The sequence below is a fragment of the Homo sapiens genome, chromosome 10 (genome assembly GCF_000001405.40).
Source record: "Homo sapiens chromosome 10, GRCh38.p14 Primary Assembly".
NCBI classification, from domain to species: Eukaryota; Metazoa; Chordata; class Mammalia; order Primates; family Hominidae; genus Homo; species Homo sapiens.
The window spans coordinates 18,614,052-18,634,851 of record NC_000010.11 but is presented as its reverse complement, the minus strand read 5'-3'; the positions used below and the strand labels follow the sequence as shown (position 1 = coordinate 18,634,851).

The following is a 20,800-nucleotide window of genomic DNA, read 5'->3' as shown; positions in this document are numbered from 1 at the left end:
TTTTTTTCTGTTAACACATTTTTCAACTCCATTCACTGATCTTTTTCTTCTGCATTCGTTTGTTTTTTGTTTTGTTTTGTTTTGTTTGTTTGTTTGAGACAGAGTCTCGCTCTGTCACCCAGGCTGGAGTGCAGTGGCAGGAGCTCACTGCAAGCTCCGCCTCCTGGGTTCAGGCCATTCTCCTGCCTCAGCCTTCCTAGTAGCTAGGACTACGTGCACCTGCCACCAAGACCAGCTAATTTTTTTTTTTTTTGTATTTTTTTTAGTAGAGATGTGGTTTCACCATGTTAGCCGGGATGGTCTCAATCTCCTGACTTTGTGATCCACCCTCCTCAGCCTCCCAAAGTGCAGGGATTATAGGCGTGAGCCACCAGGCCCGGTTTGTTCTTAAGCCTGTCTTGGTCATGGGCTCTGTTTCAAAGTGGCTCTCTTGTCAATAGTATAGGAGATAAGTTTTATCTTGTCTGTGCTTTGCTTTTCTTGTCTCTAAAATGGGGATTCAAAATACTGTCTAGTCATAGGGATGTATTACTTATCTCTGCTTCTAAATCTTTATTCAGAGGTTTTATTGTCCTTTATTTTCTCAGCTGCTGGTTTAGTTTGCCTTGTTCTTTTATCCCTTTTATGAGGTTTTTCCTTTAATTTCTCTGAAAATACAGAGGTACTTGAAATATTTTTCCTTTTGTTTGGTTTACATTTTTAAAATCTGCCTTCTGCTTTTTGTGTATGTGTGTGCCACCAATGAATGCAGAATGAATTATTTCTGCTTATCATGCATTGAATGGAAACAGTTACATCCTCATTTGCAGTTTGCTCAAGAAGGATCCAGAATGGGCGAAAGAGCATACCTATGGGACTAATCAAATATGTTTTCTGGGAAGTACTGCAAATCTTCTCTGCTGGCTCATCTGTAGTCCTGGTGAGCAGAGCCGAGGGTCTCTGTGAAGGCTTCAGCTCATACCTTTTTTCCAGGGGGCGGGGAAGGCTTTCTTATTTGTTTAATTTGTGCTTAGTTAACTCAAGTCAGGAGCAACAAAGTTGGTTGGTATTTCTTTTCTCTTTTCTTGGGCTGCTTTTAGATAGTTGATCCAGGTTTGTTAGAGAAAACAACAGATTGTCTGGTTATGCCATTTCTGACAATCTATTTCTTCTTTCAGACTTGACTCCTCTGAACAGGACACTGACAAGATATTCCTAGATTCTGATTTTTTTTTCACTAAGTGCATGGTCCTGATCCTAAGTAATAATTTGATTAGGCCTCCAGGAGCCTGTCCTGTTCAGAGACTCCACACCCTGCTGAGAAACTAGGTTTGGCTCAAATTTCACTGTCAGCCGGTTATTTCTCATCATCGGGATTATAGCTGTTTCTTAGTTTTATTGCAAATGGAATTTTCTCCTCAGATTTTATTTATTTATTTTATTTAATTAATTTATTATTATTATACTTTAAGTTTTAGGGTACATGTGCACACTGTGCAGGTTAGTTACATATGTATACATGTGCCATGCTGGTGCGCTGCACCCACCAACTCATCATCTAGCATTAGGTATATCTCCCAATGCTATCCCTCCCCCCTCCCCGCTCCCACCACCCCACAACAGACCCCAGAGTGTGATGTTCCCCTTCCTGTGTCCATGTGTTCCCATTGTTCAATTCCCACCTATGAGTGAGAATATGCGGTGTTTGGTTTTTTGTTCTTGCCATAGTTTACTGAGAATGATGATTTCCAATTTCATCCATGTCCCTACAAAGGACACGAACTCATCATTTTTTATGGCTGCATAGTATTCCATGGTGTATATGTGACACATTTTCTTAATCCAGTCTATCATTGTTGGACATTTGGGTTGGTTCCAAGTCTTTGCTATTGTGAATAATGCCGGAATAAACATACGGGTGCACGTGTCTTTATAGCAGCATGATTTATAGTCCTTTGGGTATATACCCAGTAATGGGATGGCTGGGTCAAATGGTATTTCTAGTTCTAGATCCCTGAGGAATCACTGCACTGACTTCCACAATGGTTGAACTAGTTGACAGTCCCACCAACAGTGTAAAATTGTTCCTATTTCTCCACATCCTCTCCAGCACCTGTTGTTTCCTGACTTTTTAATGATTGCCATTCTAACGGGTGTGAGATGGCATCTCATTGTGGTTTTGATTTGCATTTCTCTGATGGCCAGTGATGGTGAGCATTTTTTCGTGTGTCTTTTGGCTGCATAAATGTCTTCTTTTGAGAAGTGTCTGTTCATGTCCTTCGCCCACTTTTTGATGGGGTTGTTTGTTTTTTTCTTGTAAATGTGTTTGAGTTCATTGTAGATTCTGGATATTAGCCCTTTGTCAGATGAGTAGGTTGTGAAAATTTTCTCCCATTTTGTAGGTTGCCTGTTCACTCTGATGGTAGTTTCTTTTGCTGTGCAGAAGCTCTTTAGTTTAATTAGATCCCATTTGTCAATTTTGGCTTTGGTTGCCATTGCTTTTGGTGTTTTAGACATGAAGTCCTTGCCCATGCCTAAGTCCTGAATGGTAATGCCTAGGTTTTCTTCTAGGGTTTTTATGGTTTTAGGTCTAACGTTTAAGTCTTTAATCCATCTTGAAATGATTTTTGTATAAGGTGTAAGGAAGGGATCCAGTTTCAGCTTTCTACATATGGCTAGCCAGTTTTGCCAGCACCATTTATTAACTAGGGAATCCTTTCCCCATTGCTTGTTTTTCTCAGGTTTGTCAAAGATCAGATAGTTGTAGATATGCGGCATTATTTCTGAGGGCTCTGTTCTGTTCCATTGATCTATATCTCTGTTTTGGTACCAGTACCATGCTGTTTTGGTTACTGTAGCCTTGTAGTATAGTTTGAAGTCAGGTAGTGTGATGCCTCCAGCTTTGTTCTTTTCGCTTAGGATTGACTTGGTGATGTGGGCTCTCTTTTGGTTCCATATGAACTTTAAAGTAGTTTTTTCCACTTCTGTGAAGAAAGTCATTGGTAGCTTGATGGGGATGGCATTGAATCTACAAATTACCTTGGGCAGTATGGCCATTTTTACGATATTGATTCTTCCTACCCATGAGCATGGAATGTTCTTCCATTTGTTTGTATCCTCTTTTATTTCCTTGAGCAGTGGTTTGTAGTTCTCCTTGAAGAGGTCCTTCACATCCCTTGTAAGTTGGATTCCTAGGCATTTTATTCTCTTTGAAGCAATTGTGAATGGGAGTTCACTCATGATTTGGCTCTCTGTTTGTCTGTTGTTGGTGTATAAGAATGCTTGTGATTTTTGTACATTGATTTTGTATCCTGAGACTTTGCTGAAGTTGCTTATCAGCTTAAGGAGATTTTGGGCTGAGACAATGGGGTTTTCTAGATATACAATCATGTCATCTGCAAACAGGGACAATTTGACTTCCTCTTTTCCTCATTGAATACCCTTTATTTCCTTCTCCTGCCTAATTGCCCTGGCCAGAACTTCCAACACTGTGTTGAATAGGAGTGGTGAGAGAGGGCATCCCTGTCTTGTGCCAGTTTTCAAAGGGAATGCTTCCAGTTTTTGCCCATTCAGTATGATATTGGCTGTGGGTTTGTCATAGATAGCTCTTATTATTTTGAGATACGTCCCATCAATACCTAATTTATTGAGAGTTTTTAGCATGAAGGGTTATTGAATTTTGTCAAAGGCCTTTTCTGCATCTGTTGAGATAATCATGTGGTTTTTGTCTTTGGTTCTGTTTATATGCTGGATTACATTTATTGATTTGGGTATAATGAACCAGCCTTGCATCCCAGGGATGAAGCCCACTTGATCATGGTGGATAAGCTTTTTGATGTGCTGCTGGATTCGGTTTGCCAGTATTTTATTGAGGATTTTTGCATCAATGTTCATCAAGGATATTGGTCTAAAATTCTCTTTTTTGGTTGTGTCTCTGCCCAGCTTTGGTATCAGGATGATGCTGGCCTCATAAAATGAGTTAGGGAGGATTCCCTCTTTTTCTATTGATTGGAATAGTTTCAGAAGGAATGGTACCAGTTCCTCCTTGTACCTCTGGTAGAATTTGGCTGTGAATCCATCTGGTACTGGACTCTTTGGTGGGTAAGCTATTGATTATTGCCACAATTTCAGCTCCTGTTATTGGTCTATTCAGAGATTCAACTTCTTCCTGGTTTAGTCTTGGGATAATGTATGTGTTGAGGAATTTATCCATTTCTTCTAGATTTTCTAGTTTATTTGCTTAGAGGTGTTTGTAGTATTCTCTGATGGTAGTTTGTATTTCTGTGGGATTGGTGGTGATATCCCCTTTGTCATTTTTTATCGCATCTATTTGATTCTTCTCTCTTTTTTTCTTTATTAGTCTTGCTAGCGGTCTATCAATTTTGTTGATCCTTTCAAAAAACCAGCTCCTGGATTCATTGATTTTTTGAAGCATTTTTTGTGTCTCTATTTCCTTCAGTTCTGCTCTGATTTTAGTTATTTCTTGCCTTCTGCTAGCTTTTGAATGTGTTTGCTCTTGCTTTTCTAGTTCTTTTAATTGTGATGTTAGGGTGTCAATTTTGGATCTTTCCTGCTTTCTCTTGTGGGCATTTAGTGCTATAAATTTCCCTCTACATACTGCTTTGAATGTGTCCCAGAGATTCTGGTATGTTGTGTCTTTGTTCTCGTTGGTTTCAAAGAACATCTTTATTTCTGCCTTCATTTCGTTATGTACCCAGTAGTCATTCAGGAGCAGGTTGTTCAGTTTCCATGTAGCTGAGCAGTTTTGAGTGAGGTTCTTAATCCTGAGTTCTAGTTTGATTGCACTGTGGTCTGAGAGATAGTTTGTTATAATTTCTGTTCTTTTACATTTGCTGAGGAGAGCTTTACTTCCAAGTATGTGGTCAATTTTGGAATAGCTGTGGTGTGGTGCTGAAAAAAATGTATATTCTGTTGATTTGGGGTGGAGAGTTCTGTAGATGTCTATTAGGTCCGCTTGGTGCAGAGCTGAGTTCAATTCCTGGGTATCCTTGTTGACTTTCTGTCTCGTTGATCTGTGTAATGTTGACAGTGGGGTGTTAAAGTCTCCCATTATTAATGTGTGGGAGTCTAAGTCTCTTTGTAGGTCACTCAGGACTTGCTTTATGAATCTGGGTGCTCCTGTATTGGGTGCATATATATTTAGGATAGTTAGCTCTTCTTGTTGAATTGATCCCTTTACCATTATGTAATGACCTTCTTTGTCTCCTTTGATCTTTGTTGGTTTAAAGTCTGTTTTATCAGAGACTAGGATTGTAACCCCTGCCTTTTTTGTTTTCCATTAGCTTGGTAGATCTTCCTCCATCCTTTTATTTTGAGCCTATGTGTGTCTCTGCACATGAGATGGGTTTCCTGAATACAGCACACTGATGGGTCTTGACTCTTTATCCAATTTGCCAGTCTGTGTCTTTTAATTGGAGCATTTAGTCCATTTACATTTAAAGTTAATATTGTTATGTGTGAATTTGATCCTGTCATTATGATGTTAGCTGGTTATTTTGCTCGTTAGTTCATGCAGTTTCTTCCTAGTCTTGATGGTCTTTACATTTTGGCATGATTTTGCAGTGGCTGGTAGCAGTTGTTCCTTTCCATGTTTAGTGCTTCCTTCAGGAGCTCTTTTAGGGCAGGCCTGGTGGTGACAAAATCTCTCAGCATTTGCTTGTCTGTAAAGGATTTTATTTTTCCTTCACTTATGAAGCTTAGTTTGGGTGGATATGAAATTCTGGGTTGAAAATTCTTTTCTTTAAGAATGTTGAATATTTGCCCCCACTCTCTTCTGGCTTGTAGAGTTTCTGCCAAGAGACCTGCTGTTAGTCTGATGGGCTTCCCTTTGTGGGTAACCCGACCTTTCTCTCTGGCTGCCCTGAACATTTTTTCCTTCATTTCAACTTTGGTGAATCTGACAATTATGTGTCTTGGAGTTGCTCTTCTCGAGGAGTATCTTTGTGGCGTTCTCTGTATTTCCTGAATCTGAATGTTGGCCTGCCTTGCTAGAGTGGGGAAGTTCTCCTGGATAATATCCTGCAGAGTGTTTTCCAACTTGATTCCATTCTCCCCGTCACTTTCTGGTACACCAATCGACGTAGATTTGGTCTTTTCACATAGTCCCATATTTCTTGGAGGCTTTCCTCATTTCTTTTTATTCTTTTTTCTCTAAACTTCCCTTCTTGCTTCATTTCATTCAGTTCATCTTCCATCGCTGATACCCTTTCTTCCAGTTGATCACATTGGCTCCTGAGGCTTCTACATTCTTCACGTAGTTCTCGAGCCTTGGTTTTCAGCTCCCTCAGCTCCTTTAAGCACTTTTCTGTATTGGTTATTCTAGTTATAGATTCTTCTAAACTTTTTTCAAAGTTTTCAACTTCAATGCCTTTGGTTTGAATTTCCTCCCGTAGCTCGGAGTAATTTGGTCGTCTGAAGCCTTCTTCTCTCAGCTCCTCAAAGTCATTCTCCATCCAGCTTTGTTCCATTGCTGGTGAGGAACTGTATTCCTTTGGAGGAGGAGAGGTGCTCTGCTTTTTAGAGTTTCCAGTTTTTCTGCTCTGTTTTTTCCCCATCTTTGTGGTTTTATCTACTTTTGGTCTTTGATGATGGTGATGTACAGATGGGTTTTTGGTGTGGATGTCCTTTCTGTTTGTTAGTTTTCCTTCTAACAGACAGGACCCTCAGCTGCAGGTCTGTTGGAGTACCTGACCGTGTGAGGTGTCAGTCTGCCCCTGCTTGGGGGTGCCTCCCAGTTAGGCTGCTCAGGGGTCAGGGGTCAGGGACCCACTTGAGGCAGTCTGCCCGTTCTCAGATCTCCAGCTGCGTGCTGGGAGAACCACTGCTCTCTTCAAAGCTATCAGACAGGGACATTTAAGTGTGCAGAGGTTACTGCTGTCTATTTGTTTGTCTGTGCCCTGCCCCCAGAGGTGGAGCCTACAGAGGCAGGCAGGCCTCCTTGAGCTGTGGTGGGCTCCACCCAGTTGGAGCTTCCTAGCTGCTTTGTTTGCCTAAGCAAGCCTGGGCAATGGCTGGCGCCCCTCCCCCAGCCTGGCTGCCGCCTTACAGTTTGATCTCAGACTGCTGCGTTAGCAATCAGCGAGACTCCGTGGGCGTAGGACCCTCCGAGCCGCGGGATATAGTCTCCTGGTGCTCCGGTTTTTAAGCCAATCGGAAAAGCGCGGTATTGGGGTGGGAGTGACCCAATTTTCCAGGTGCCGTCTGTCACCCCTTTCTTTGACTAGGAAAGGGAACTCCCTGACCCCTTGTGCTTCCCGAGTGAGGCAATGCCTCGCCCTGCTTTGGCTCGGGCACGGTGCGCGCACCCACTGACCTGCGCCCACTGTCTGGCACTCCCTAGTGAGATGAACCCGGTACCTCAGATGGAAATGCAGAAATCACCCGTCTTCTGCGTCGCTCACGCTGGGAGCTGTAGACCGGAGCTGTTCCTATTCTTCTCCTCAGATTTTTATTCTTTTTTCTCCCCTTTTCATTTCCATGGGATTTAGAAAAGGGTGTTTTCTTCCTCTGATTTTTTACTAAAAGCTCGATATCACAGTTATTTAAAATACAAATGAATCAGTTAAACTTTATATACAGTAAACAATTTTAACAGTAATGCATCACTGAATTACTGGTTTCTTCAGTTTACTTGAAATGAGATTTAAAATAAAATTTTGGTTTCTTCAGTTTACTTAAGACGAGATTTCAGGTACTGGTGAAATATATTTTAATTTCTGGAAGAAGATTTTTGTCTGGTAATTTAATGACTTCAGGAGAAAACTGAATGCCAGACTTGTCTTGATAAAAGAGCCTTTAAAACATCTCAACCAGCATTTTGTAAAGGCTACATTTGGATCAGTAGAACTTTTTAGGCCAAAAATCAATTTGTAATTTTAAGGAATTTCTGTATTCTCTCAATTCGTGCTCCTCCCTTTTTGATAAAAGTCTTAAAATAGTTCAAGCAGGCCAGAACATTAATTTTCTTCCTTTCTTTCACAATTGAATATGTAATTCAACAGCATAAATCTCTTGAAATCCAAATGAGACTGGATTTGTCTTCTCTTTCAGCCTACTCGATTTCCATCTTTTTTTTTCCCCCACCCAGGACGGAGTCTTGCCCTTGTTGCCCAAGCTAGAGTGCAATGGCACGATCTCGGCTCACTGCAACCTCCACCTCCGTGTTCAAGTGATTATCCTGCCTCAGCCTCCTGAGTATATGGAATTACAGGCGTCTGGCATCACGCTGAGCTAATTTTTGTATTTTTAGTAGAGACAGGGTTTCACCATGTTGGCCAGGTTGGTCTCGAATTCCTGATCTCAGGTAATCTGCCTGCCTCAGCCTCCTAAAGTGCTGGGATTACAGGCGTGAGCCACTGTGTCCGGCCCATTAAGTCTCTTTTGACTTTCCATTATGAGAAATGAGGAGATTACTGGAGTTAAATTTTCCCTAAAATTTTACCAGCTAATTTGTATTTACTGTTTTTTTATTTTTGTTTTGAGATGGGGTCTCGCCGTGTTGCCCAGGCTGGTCTCGAGCTCCTGAGCTCAAGTGATCCACCCTCCTCGGCCTCCCAAAGTGTTGGGATTACAAGCAGGAGCCACCATGCCTGGCCAGTTTTTCTGTTTTTTTTTTTTTAAACATTGTCAAGCTTTGTAACATTGTTATTTCCCAAGTATAATTCACATGGATGCAGTGTTTGCTTTCGGTCCTTATGGCACAGTTTATTTCTCATTTCTTATCTTTATTAATGTCTTTATTGGTGAGTACAGTCACTTAGCAGATCTCCCGCACCCCCTGCCCTTTCCCAAAGTGTGACTCTTACGTACTGCGTTACTTTCTTGATTGAGAATGTCTGCCTGTTGCCTTTTTGTTTATAAAACAAGTTGGCTGAGTCTGGTCGTTTCAGGCCACATAGTATTTCCCTTAGCACTTTGTAGACATTGCTTTTATAACCTGTGGCATTAAATGTTATTGTGAAGAAATCTAAGGCCCACCAAAAACTTTTCCTTTTAACAGTACGTTGTCTTTTGATTGGAGATCTGTGGAATTCTTAGTTATTCAACTTTAGACATTTAGCCAGTGTAATGCTTGATTTTGATTATTTCCTCTTAGTTCTTTATCTTTTTTTTTTTTTTTTTTTTTTTTTTTTAAAAAAAAAACACATAGTCTCACTCTGTCACCCAGGCTGGAGTGCAGTGGCGCGATCTCGGCTCACTGCAGCTTTTGCGTCCCGGATTCAAGTGATTCTCCTGCCTCACCCTCCGGAGTAGCTGGGATTACAGGTGCCCACCACCATACCCGGCTGACTTTTGTATTTTTAGTAGAGACGGAGTTTTACCATGTTGGTCAGGCTGGTCTTCAAACTCTTGAATCGGGTGATCCACCAACCTCGGCCTTCCAAAGTGCTGGGATTTCAGGTGTGAGCCACCACACTCAGCCTATTTCCTCTTAGCTTTTGATGAGACACAGTGTAGCTTTTCAGTTATATAGGTCTTCCATTATTTCTTTGAATATTTTTCTCTTACATTTTCTGTATTCTCTTTTATAAAGACAGCAGGACTTTGTGTGCTGTGTTTCTGGCACAGATATTACCTGCATCAGAGATTCCCAAGACAGCCCTCAGGTTTAGTGATTGGCTAAGACTCACAGAACCTAGCATACGGTCACACCAATGGCTATGGTTTATTACATGAAAGCATACAGAAGCAAAACCAGCAAGGGAAAAGAGGCATGGGGTGAAGTTTGGAAGAAACCAAACACAGGCTGTCTCAGTGAGGTCCCATAGGACATGCTTAATTCCTCCAGCACCTAATTGTGACATGTAAAATAGTTGTCTAGAAGAAAAGCTCATCAGAGGCTTGGTGCCCAAGGGTTTTATTGGGCTGGTCACATAGGCACCCTCTGCGTAGCATGTACCGAAATTCCCAGACTCCCGAAAGGAAAGCAGGTGCTCCGAATAAACATGTGTTTGTACCTTGCTTGTACAGAGTTTAGGAATTGTGAGCCACTCTTATTTATCATTAGGGAAGGTTTTATGTCACTGCTGGGAACTCATTCCAGTTTCTAGCTGCTTAGCTAGCCAAGACCCATCCTCTCAAGCAACCCTTTCTAAGAACCGCAGTCTCAAGCCTGTTACTTTAATTTTTTTTTTCTGTTAACATATTCTTCAACTCCATTCACTGATCTTTTTCTTCCGCATTCGTTCTTTTTTTTTTTTTTTTTGAGACAGAGTCTCGCTCTGTCTCCCAGGCTGAAGTTCAGTGCCAGGAGCTCTCACTGCAAGCTCTACATCCCGGGTCTACGCCATTCTCCTGCCTCAGCCTCCCTAGTAGGCTACAGGTACCTGCCACCATGCCCGGCTAATTTTTTTTTTGTATTTTTTTAGCCAGGATGGTCTCAATCTCCTGACCTAGTGATCCACCCTCCTCAGCCTCCCAAAGTGCTGGGATTATAGGCATGAGCCACCGCACCCAGCCCATTTGTTGTTAGGCCTGTCTTGGTCACTTTGGCTCTGTTTCAAAGTGGCTCTCTTGTCAATAGTATAGGAGATAAGTTTTATCTTGTCTGTGCTTTGCTTTTCTTATCTCTAAAATGGGGATTGAAAATACTATCTAGTCATAGGGATGTATTACCTCTTTCTGCTTGTAAATCCTTATTCAGAAGTTTTATTGTCCTTTATTTTCTTAGCTGCTAGTTTACTTTCATCTTTGTTCTTTTATCCCTTTTTTGAGGTTTTTCCTTTAATTTCTCTGAAAATACAGTGGTACTTGAATTATTTTTCCTTTTGTTTGGTTTACATTTTTAAAATCTACCTTCTGCTTTTTGTGTATGTGTGTGCCACCAATGAATGCAGAATGAATTATTTCTGCTTATCATGCATTGAATGGAAACAGTTACATCCTCATTTGCAGTTTGCTCAAGAAGGATCCAGAATGGGGGAAAGAGCATGCCTATGGGACTAGTCAGATAAGTTTTCTGGGAAGTACTGCAAATCTTCTCTGCTGGCTTTTCTCTAGTCCTGGTGAGCAGAGCCGAGGCTCTCTGTGAAGGCTTTAGCTCATACCTTTTTTCCAGAGGGTGGGGAAGGCTTTCTTTTTCATTTAATCTCTGCTTAGATAACTTAAGTCATGAGCAGCAAAGTTGGTTGCTATTTCTTTTCTCTTTCCTGGGCTGCTTTTTGGCAGTTGATCAGGTTTGTTAGAGAAAATAACACATTGTCTGGTTATGCCATTTCTGACAATCCATTTCTTCTTTCACACTTGTCTCCTCTGAACAGGATACTGGTAAGACATTCCTAGATTCTGATTTCTTTTCCACTAAGCCTGTGGTCCTGGTCCTAAGTAATAAATGTTTGATTAAGCCTCCAGGAGCCTCTCCTTTTCAGAGACTCCACACCGTGCTGAGAAACTAGGTTTGGCTCAAAGTTCACTGTCAGCCAATTTTTTCTCATCATCGCAATTATAGCTGTTTCTTAGTTTTATTGCAAATGGAATTTTCTCCTCAGATTTTTATTCTTTTCCCCCCCTTTCATTGCCATGGGATTTAGAAAAAGGAGTTTTCTTCCTCTGATTTTTTAGTAGAAGCTCAATATCACAGTTATTTTCATTATAAATGCATCAGTTAAACTTTATATACAGTAAACAATTTTAAAAGTAATGCATCACTGAATTACTGGTTTCTTCACTTTACTTAAAATGAGATGTAAAATAAAATTTCAAATGAAATTTAAAATAAAATTTTGCTTTCTTCAGTTTACTTAAAATGAGGTTTCATGTACTGGTGAAATATATTTTAATTTCTGGAAGATGATTTTTGTCTGGTAATTTAATGACTTCAGGAGAAAACGGAATGCCAGACTTGTCTTGATACAAGAGCCTTTAAAACATCTCTCAACCAGCGTTTTCTAAAGGCTACATTTGGATCAGTAGAACTTTTTAGGCCAAAAACCAATTGGTAATTTTAAAGAATTTCTGTATTCTCTCAATTAATGCTCCTCCCTTTTTGATAAGTCTCAAAATAGTTCAAGCAGGCTAGAACATTAACTTTCTTCCTTTCTTTCACAATTGAATATGTAATTCAACAGCATAAATCTCTTGAAATCCAAATGAGACTGGATTTGTCTTCTCTTTCAGCCTACTCGATTTCCATCTTTTTCCCCCCAAGGCGGAGTCTTGCTCTTGTTGCCCAGGCTAGAGTGCAATGGCACGATCTCTGCTCACTGCAACTTCCACCTCCGTGTTCAAGCGATTATCCTGCCTCAGCCTCCTATCTGGAATTACAGGCGTCTGCCACCACGCTGAGCTAATTTTTGTATTTTTAGTAGAGACAGGGTTTCACCATGTTGGCCAGGCTGGTCTCGAACTCCTGACCTCAGGTAATCTGCCCACCTCGTACTCCTAAAGTGCTGGAATTACAGGCATGAGCCACTGTGCGCAGCTGATTTCCATCTTTTGTAGTTGCCTTGTCACTCATGTCAGTACTGTCTTAGATTGTTTCTCATGGTTCTGGAGGCTGGAAATCCACGACGTGTGCCAGTATGCTTGGGTTCTGGTGAGTGCCCTCTTCTGCGATGCAGATAGCTGACTTCTCATTGTATTCTCACATTGCAGAAAGCAAGTGGGTAGCTCTTTGGTCTCGTATAAAGGCACTGATCCCATTTATGAGCATTCTACCCTCATAACTAATTACCCCTGAAGACTTCTCCAAATACCATCACATTGAGTTCGGGTTTCAGCATGTGAATTTTGGGGACACAAATATTCCATCCATAACAAGCACTTTAAGATTTCAATTTTTGTGTGTGTGTGTCTGTGTGTGTGTGTGTGTGTGTGTCATTCGTATATATATATATATATGTGTGAATAGGGTTATTGCAATAGAATATTTAAGAAATGCTGTTGCACAAGGACTACTGATTAAATAAAGGTGGCAGTCCTGCTGCAAAGAAGTATTTGGCATGCAGCAATATCATGTGCTGTTTCACAGTTTCATCCATCACCTTCCATTTGGTGTAGGGTTGTTAGTATGTGTAGGGTTGTGAATATGTGCAGTTAAAATACCAAATAGATAAAAATACATGATTTTAGATTCCTTAACAGGACATTCCCATAATCTGTTTTTAATTCCTTAGCTACTTCATTTTTTAGCTATTCTAATACTTTTCTCTCAATCTAGGTGTATTTATAGTTTTTTTCTCCAACCTATATTACTAAACTGTTGGAACGTAATCTTTCTTTAATGTTGTTGATGCACTCTATTTGGAAACATTTCAATAAAAATCAAGCTTTTAGCATATTTTATGGCCTTGCACCAACTTTTACGTTTGCTCTTTTAGTTTTCCTAGTAAAAACTCCCTTTCAACAATGCTGACTTAAATATTGATACTTGCATATGACATACTGTGTTTTTATATTGTCAGTCCTGGTGTCTATGGATCCCCAAGACCATTCCTTGGTTCTGTGATTCTCTAAGAGGAATTAGGGAATTCAGCACATACTTGTACTTACGGCTATGATTTGTTACAGTGAAAGAATATGAAGCACAATCAGCAAAGGGAAAACCATCACAAGCTTCCAGAGTCCTCTTCCAGGGGAGTCACACAGGACTCCCACAGGAAGTCCCCCAGTGCTGAGCTGTGACCACATGAGACTCACTGCCAGGATTCCTATTCAGGGCTCATCATGTAGATTCCCACTGCCTGGTACATACCCACATTCTGGATTCTCAGAAGGAAAGCTGGTATTTACTATAAATCATAGTTTGTTCAATAATTCAGGCACAGTGAGCCACTCTTAGCAGTTAATAAGTAAACCTCCTGAAATCTCAGTTCCCAGATGTCAGTCAAGGGCCAGCCTTGTAAGCAGGCTTTTCAAAGATAACAGATCAGGCCTACTATGTTAACTTTTTTCTGCACAGTTCTCTGTTCCAGAATTCATCCTTTCCCCTCCATGTTATTTTCATAAAATCTAACACTACAGATTTCACTTCCACAAAACATGTTTTTGAATTTGTGCTATATGTGAGATGTGATGGTGTTACAAAGATGAATGAGACATAGTTCTATAGTCTAAAGTCAGGAGACTTTGGTACAAGTCAGACTGTTATGATAGTCACAGTAGAAGTATAAATTAAATGCTATTGGAGCATAGAATAGGAAGGACTGAGTACAAAGAAATTGTTAAATATTTTCTCTAAGCAGATATTATTTCATTTGAGTCTTGAAGGTGAGGAGAAATTAGGCCGAAGGGCTGTTAAGGTGGGCAAGGTTATGCTAGGCAGAGAGAAGGCATGAGGAAAGACATGAATGCATGAAACATTGGTGGCTGCTGATAAAAGTGATCAGGTTTGGCTATTTGTTTTCAGAGTTGGGGGATGGGTGAAAGATGAAACTGAAGAAGTTGGGAGAGGCAGATATGAAGTATGAAGATTTTTTTGTACCAAGGAATTTTTTTTTCATAGACTTAAGAAGCTAAAGAATTTTTATTGTCGGGCGCAGTGGCTCATGCCTGTAATCCCAGCACTTTGGGAGGCCGAGGCGGGCGGATCACGAAGTCAGGAGATCGAGACTATCCTGGCTAACACGGTGTAACCCCATCTCTACTAAAAACACAAAAAATTAGCCGGGTATGGTGGCGGGTGCCTGTAGTCTCAGCTACTCAGGAGGCTGAGGCAGGAGAATGGCGTGAACCCGGGAGGTGGAGCTTGCAGCGAGCCAAGATGGCGCAACTGCACTCCAGCCTGGGAGACAGAGCTAGACTCCGTCTCAAAAAAAAAAAAAATTTTTTTTATTAGTAAAAATTAGATGTGTATTTTAGAAATATAATAGTGGTAGTGGTCTTCCAAACTGCTTGGAGATCATGACCCATTAGTAACTTGTGAAATCAATTTAATGTTTTCAATGAATATTTAAAAAAAAAGGGATGTTTTATAATATATTGCATCGCACATAGTAAAAATATTTAATGAAATGTTATGTGTGATACCACACACACAGACATGTATGTGTAGTTTCTTATATCAAGATCTCAAATGATATAAAAACTTGAAATAAGTTCTTTTATCAAGTGTGTTTCTTACATCAACTGACAGTCAAAAGTTTCAGAAATTTTTTCAAAAGTTGAATTGCAAACCTGGAGAAAAGTTAGAAAAGTATTTCCGAGTTTTTTAGCTTCAATAATATGTATGGTGAATTAGATAACATGAAGATGTTTTTGCTACATACACCGAGGAGTGCTAAGTAAAAAAGAACATAGTAGGCCACAAAATGATGTAGTTGAGTGATTAAAAATGTAGTTGATATATTAGAGGTTAGGAATGCAGAATAATTGAAAAGAGAACAGCAAGCATGTGAGTTATTATTGGGGGGTTGAAGGTATGGGAAAGGAGGTGGTCTTTCTTCTAAATTTAGGGTCTTTGGTTTAAACAATTAAGTGTTAATAGTAAGGGTGAGAAATACCCAGTAGTCATTACAAGGCAGTAATTAAAAGTAGGTCTTTCTTGCCTTAGGATATAGGTTGGAGAAAAATGTGTTTCTGAGAATGCGCAGCCGTAAGTTCCCTCCGTCATAAAGGTCTGGAATGCAAATTGCTGCAACCTAAATTGGAACCTGCAAACTGGGAAATTAACTGTTTGGTCCCAAGCCAATTCCTGGGTACTTGGCAAAAACTAAGTGACACCACTCTGGAGCAGCACTCATTCAGTCCAAGCCAAACACTTGGCATTGTTAAAAGCTACACTGGGAATCAAACCACTATGAGTAAGAATCAGCATATATAATAAGCTGCAGGATTGGATTTCCCTCAGAACTTTTAACAAATAGACCTCTCTGGCATAGACTATAAAAACAGTTTTCTTCCAAGATCAGCTGAGATCGGGCATGTTCAGAGTGATATGGCTGTAGACAAAACAGTTTTCTTAAAATGATTAAAAATGAAAGAGTAAAACATAAAAGACCCTAAGGATAAAAAGGTAGAATTGAAAACAAATTTCTAAAAATAAATTATCATTAAAATTAAAAACTCATACAATGAATTAAACAGCAGATTAGACCCAACTGATGAGAAAGTTTTTGAATTAGGAGATGACTCTTAGGAAATTATCTAGAATGCAGCAGAGAGAAATTAAAAATATGAAAGTGAAATTGAGTCATGAAAAAGCACTTTACGTTTCTTTTTTTTTTTTTTTTTTTGAGATGGAGTTTTGCTCTTATTGCCCACGCTGGAGTGCAATGGCACCATCTCGGCTCACTGCAACCTCCACCTCCTGGGTTCAAGTGATTCTCCTGCCTCAGCCTTCCAAGTATCTGGGATTACAGGCATGCGCCACCATGCCTGGGTAATTTTGTATTTTTAGTAGAGACGGGGATTTCTTCATGTTGGTCAGGCTGGTCTTGAACTCCCAACCTCATGTGATCCACCCACCTCAGCCTCCAAAAGTACTGGGATTACAGGTGTGAGCCACTGCACCTGACCAGCATTTATATTTTTAATGAGTCTCAGGTATAGAGAATAGGAATAATGGGGGAAAGACAATAATCACAAGTGTAATGACCATGAATTTCTATCACTGATGAAAAATTTAAGAAGTGTGAGCTTGAAGCCAAAAGTAAAAGTAGATTCATGTCTACATACTTCAGAGTGAAGTTGCAGAACACCAAAGACAGAGAAAATCTGAAACCAGTGGTAAAAGGCAGGAAGCTATTTCAGTAATCACAAAGAGATATGTGTCCAACATCAGGAGATACGCCCACAAAACCTATCAGAACTAGAAGATAGCTTGATTCCTAAATCAATCAATGTGAAGGCTTAGGAGGACTTTAAGATGACGCTGAGTGTCTTAGTTTATTTTTTGCTGCTATAGCAGAATACCTGAGACTGGATAATTTATAAAGAACATAAATTTGTTTTTTGTAGTGTTGGAGGATACGAAGTCCAAGATCGAGGCATTTGCATCTGGTGAGGGCTTTCTTGCTGCATCTGTACATGGTAGAGGGCACAAGGGCAAGAGAAAGCAAACTCACTGCTGCAAGCCCTTTTTATTATAGCATTAATTCATTCATGAGGGCAGAGCACTCATGACCTGAACAGCTCCCAATAGGCCTCATATTCCAACACTGTTGCACTAGGGATTAAGTTGCCAGCACATGAATATTGGGGGACACATCCAGACCGTAACACTGAGGCATCTAGTTTGGTTATCTGGGCAGATAATGACGTCTCATTCAAGATTGGAAACAGGATGAAAAGATTTGGGATCCTGCCAAGGAGTGGAGGAATGGATGAGGGAAAACTGATTATTGTTTAGGACTTGTTGAGTTTGAAGTAACTGTGAGACGTCTCTATATAGCTGTCCGTAGGTAATTAGAAATACTAATTAAGAGTCTAAGCTGGGCGTGGTGGCTCATGCCTATAATCCCAGTACTTTGGGAGGCTGAGGCTGGTGGATCACCTGAGGTCAGGAGTTCGAGACCCACCTGGCCAACATGGTGAAACCCTGTCACTACTAAAAATACACAAGTTAGCCAGGTGTGGTGGCGAGCACCTGTAATCCCAGTTACTCAGGAGGCTGAGGCATGAGAATCACTTTAACCCAGATGGCAGAGGTTGCAGTGAGCCAAGATTGCGTCACTGCACTCCAGCTTGGGTGACAGAGAAAGACTTGGTCTCAAAAAAAAAAAAAAAAAAAACTAGAAAGGCTAAACATTAGAATTTGTGGATTGTTTTTGTGAGTGATTATTGAAATCATGAGATTGCCAAGGGATAGAATGCAAGGTGAGTAGAGATGGTCGCATGTTTTGGAACCTGGCGGGGAGAGCCTCTAAGAAGTAGGCAGAGAATGAGCAATGAGAATGTTTGGGACCAGGAAAGAGTGGGTATAAAGCTGAAAAATTAGTAAGATTTGATGAATTGGCGATCATGGAATTGAAGACAGGATGCACCTAATTCCCCCAGCAGTGAGTTGTGACAGCACATCCAAGGAAGCTTATTAGAGACTCATTGTTAAGGGTTTTTATTTAGGGCTGATCACATTGGGTCCCTGATCTTTGGAACCCTGAGTGTTAGAAGTAATACAGATTTTAGTGGTCTAAGAAATGAATGTGAGAAACTGGAAAAGACTCAAAAAGGTTGGGCAGCAAAGGAAGGAAAAAAGACTTATCTTCTTTTCCTGTCTTGTTTAAATTATTCATAATTTACCATGCAACAATTTACCACTTTAGAAATGTTTTTGTAATTCCTTGTGTATTTTTCTATTTTAGTCTTTGAAGACAGAGAAAGTCTATTTTTCTCCTAATGCTATGATAAACAGTAATGCTTGTTAAATGATTAAGCAATTTCTGGTGCCACTTTATTGCCTTCCAGCAGATGGACCTCTTGATTTTTTTCTTCCTCTCAAGTGCCCATCTTCGTGTTGCTGTTTTTTCCTGTTTCCTCTATATGTATGCCTCTCTTTTCAGCGTTTTCTTATGTATTCAGGACAGTTAAGACTAAAGAGGCATTAGAGTTCAGATAGAACACGGGAAAAATTGGTAGGCATTGGAGGTATGTTACTATTAAACTTCTTGTGTCTTACATTTCTAGAAAGAATATTAAAAAACAACAGTGTGAAGCCATTGTTGGAGCCCAGTGTGGCAATGCAGTTTTAAGAGGAGCCCATGTCTATGCCCCAGGAATTGTGTCAGCATCACAATGTAAGTATAATGTTTAGATTTGTCTTTAAGGTTCTCTAAAATTTATGTGCATTTTCAAATGGAAAATTTATTGATTTGTCACTAAGATATATTCCAAATTTTTCTTGGTCGGGTATTTTTCCAGCTTTGCATTTAGGGTTTTATCCAGTAAGGACTAACAAACTAGTCATCATATAAGGTTTTCTGATGGTTTTTTTTTTTTCCTTCCAAATAAGGATGTATTTGATGATGGTTGTTTTAGTGGATCATTACTGATAGAGTACGTCAATGAACTTCTGTTTTGTTTTCTTGACTGCATTGCCTTAAAACCTCAGAAAGCTGTTGTGTCATTAGTGAGAGAACATCCAGAACCTGGACTCTGAACATTGGGATGAAACTTGATACTCTTAATGTATTCACCCAGTTGGCGACATACCTGTGTTGCATATGCTTAGTAAGTTAGTCACTGTGGTTCAGTGGTACCTTATTGGACTTGAAATCAAGAAACAATTGCTTTCATCTGTAGAAAACGTATTCCGTCTCTGGGCCTCAGTTATGGTGTCCTTGAAATGAATAATTTGATCTGTATCAGAATTGGGTCAACTACTACCTCCTGGCCAAGTCTGGCTCATGTCTGTTTATGTGTGGCCCATAAGCTAAGAATGGTTTTTTCCTTTTTAAAATGTTGTGAAAAGATACACATATAAAGAAGAATATGCCACAGAGAACTTATGTGGCTACAAAGCCTAAAATATTTATTTGCCCTTTACAGGAAAAGTGTGTTGACATCTGATCTACATGATTTTAACAGTTCTCTTAGCTCTAGCTAATAGGCTGTTCGCTATTGTTGTCAGGTAATAGACCAAATAAATTTATGATAGATTAGGTTTAAAAATGTTTTTTGGAAGTGGAATATAATTTCCAATTATAAATAACACTGAGAGTTGTTACAGAAAATAAATGCCTACACAAACTGGATTTAATCAGCCATATAAAGCAACTCTGTACACTGTATACTGTAAAAGGTATTCTAAGTGTATACACACACGTATATATGTGTGCCTATATGTGTGTGTATATATATATATATATATATATGAATGACTATATATGCTTATCATTAAAGTCTGCCTTAATCGTGCTGTCATATCAAAATAGCAAATACAAACAGGGTTATGGGATTTAGAAATATTTCTTTGAAGGATTTTAGGGTACATTTTTGAACAGTCCTTTTGAAGGAAACTTAGAACTTTGAGGTTTGAGCTGAGATGTCAAGATTTATAAGAAATCTTTTAAGGCTTGGGGGAAATAATTTGGCTCAGCTTGAGATTTCCAGTTGAGGGTAGGATGTTTTGAAGCTATTTTATTTCTTTGTTTTCACTGAAAAAGATTCTTTAGTGAGTTTTATTGTTATGGAATATTTTAAAGTAAAAAGTCAGATTTTCTATTAAAGATTGAGGTAATGAGCAAGTTTGAACTGCTTCATGCCCACTATTGATGCCTCTAGAGATCACCGATCTAGCTCAAATAATTTTCACGATTCTTCTGCCAAAGTATAAATCAGTGTAATCTGATTTTCTTCTTTCTCTAGTTATGAAAGCTGGAGATGTTATTTCTGTATACTCTGATATTAAAGGAAAATGTAAGAAAGGAGCCAAAGAATTTGATGGAACAAAAGTATTTCTTGGAAATGGGATTTCTGAACTAAGCCGCAAAGAAATCTTCAGTGGATTACCTGAACTGAAGTATGTCATCAGGTGCTTTGGGGAAATCAGCATCCTTTTTGTGGGTCAATGAAAATTAAAAATAATGTAAAATGTATCTAGTTGCATTATATGAAATTTTTTTTTTTGGTATAAATCCAACTGGAAAAAAATTGTTTAAACCCATATTTCCATGATGTTTGGTCAAAAAGGGTAACTGATCAAATTAAAGAGCCTCATTAAGCAACCAGTTACATTTTAATTGTCAAATAATTTTACTTGTCCTTCTGAATTTTATTTTTTTCAAAATATTTTGCATCTTTGAAAAACAGTGCATTATGATGGAGAAAGAATTAGATGATCTATCCAGATCATTTTTAACGTTCTTATTTGTCAGAAAAAGTTTGATTTTAATATAAATTAAACATATTTTTTAATTAAAAATAAATT

At 39.4% G+C, this 20,800-nt stretch overlaps 1 protein-coding gene across 21 annotated transcripts in view, besides 1 other annotated feature; it reads left to right on the top strand.

Moving 5' to 3' along the window:
• Positions 1–20,800, top strand: part of NSUN6 (NOP2/Sun RNA methyltransferase 6) — a 113,767-nt gene that overhangs the window by 24,476 nt on the left and 68,491 nt on the right. For 10 of the 21 annotated variants that reach the window (XM_024447884.2, NM_001351116.2, XM_047424778.1 and 7 more), the window contains 2 exons: positions 18,559–18,668; positions 20,239–20,392. In XM_024447884.2, coding sequence (XP_024303652.1) covers positions 18,559–18,668; positions 20,239–20,392 — 264 coding nt within the window. Of the gene's footprint in view, positions 1–12,359; positions 12,533–18,558; positions 18,669–20,238; positions 20,405–20,800 lie in introns of those variants that run through there. The other 11 variants (XM_011519385.2, XM_011519386.3, XM_011519384.2 and 8 more) reach the window with 2 other exon arrangements.
• Positions 6,945–7,154: an enhancer, noted in NCBI's record as "active region_3113". NCBI's record gives its function as "activates an Ori minimal core promoter by ATAC-STARR-seq in GM12878 lymphoblastoid cells {active_cell/tissue: GM12878}" and the evidence as "EXISTENCE:reporter gene assay evidence [ECO:0000049][PMID:35858748]".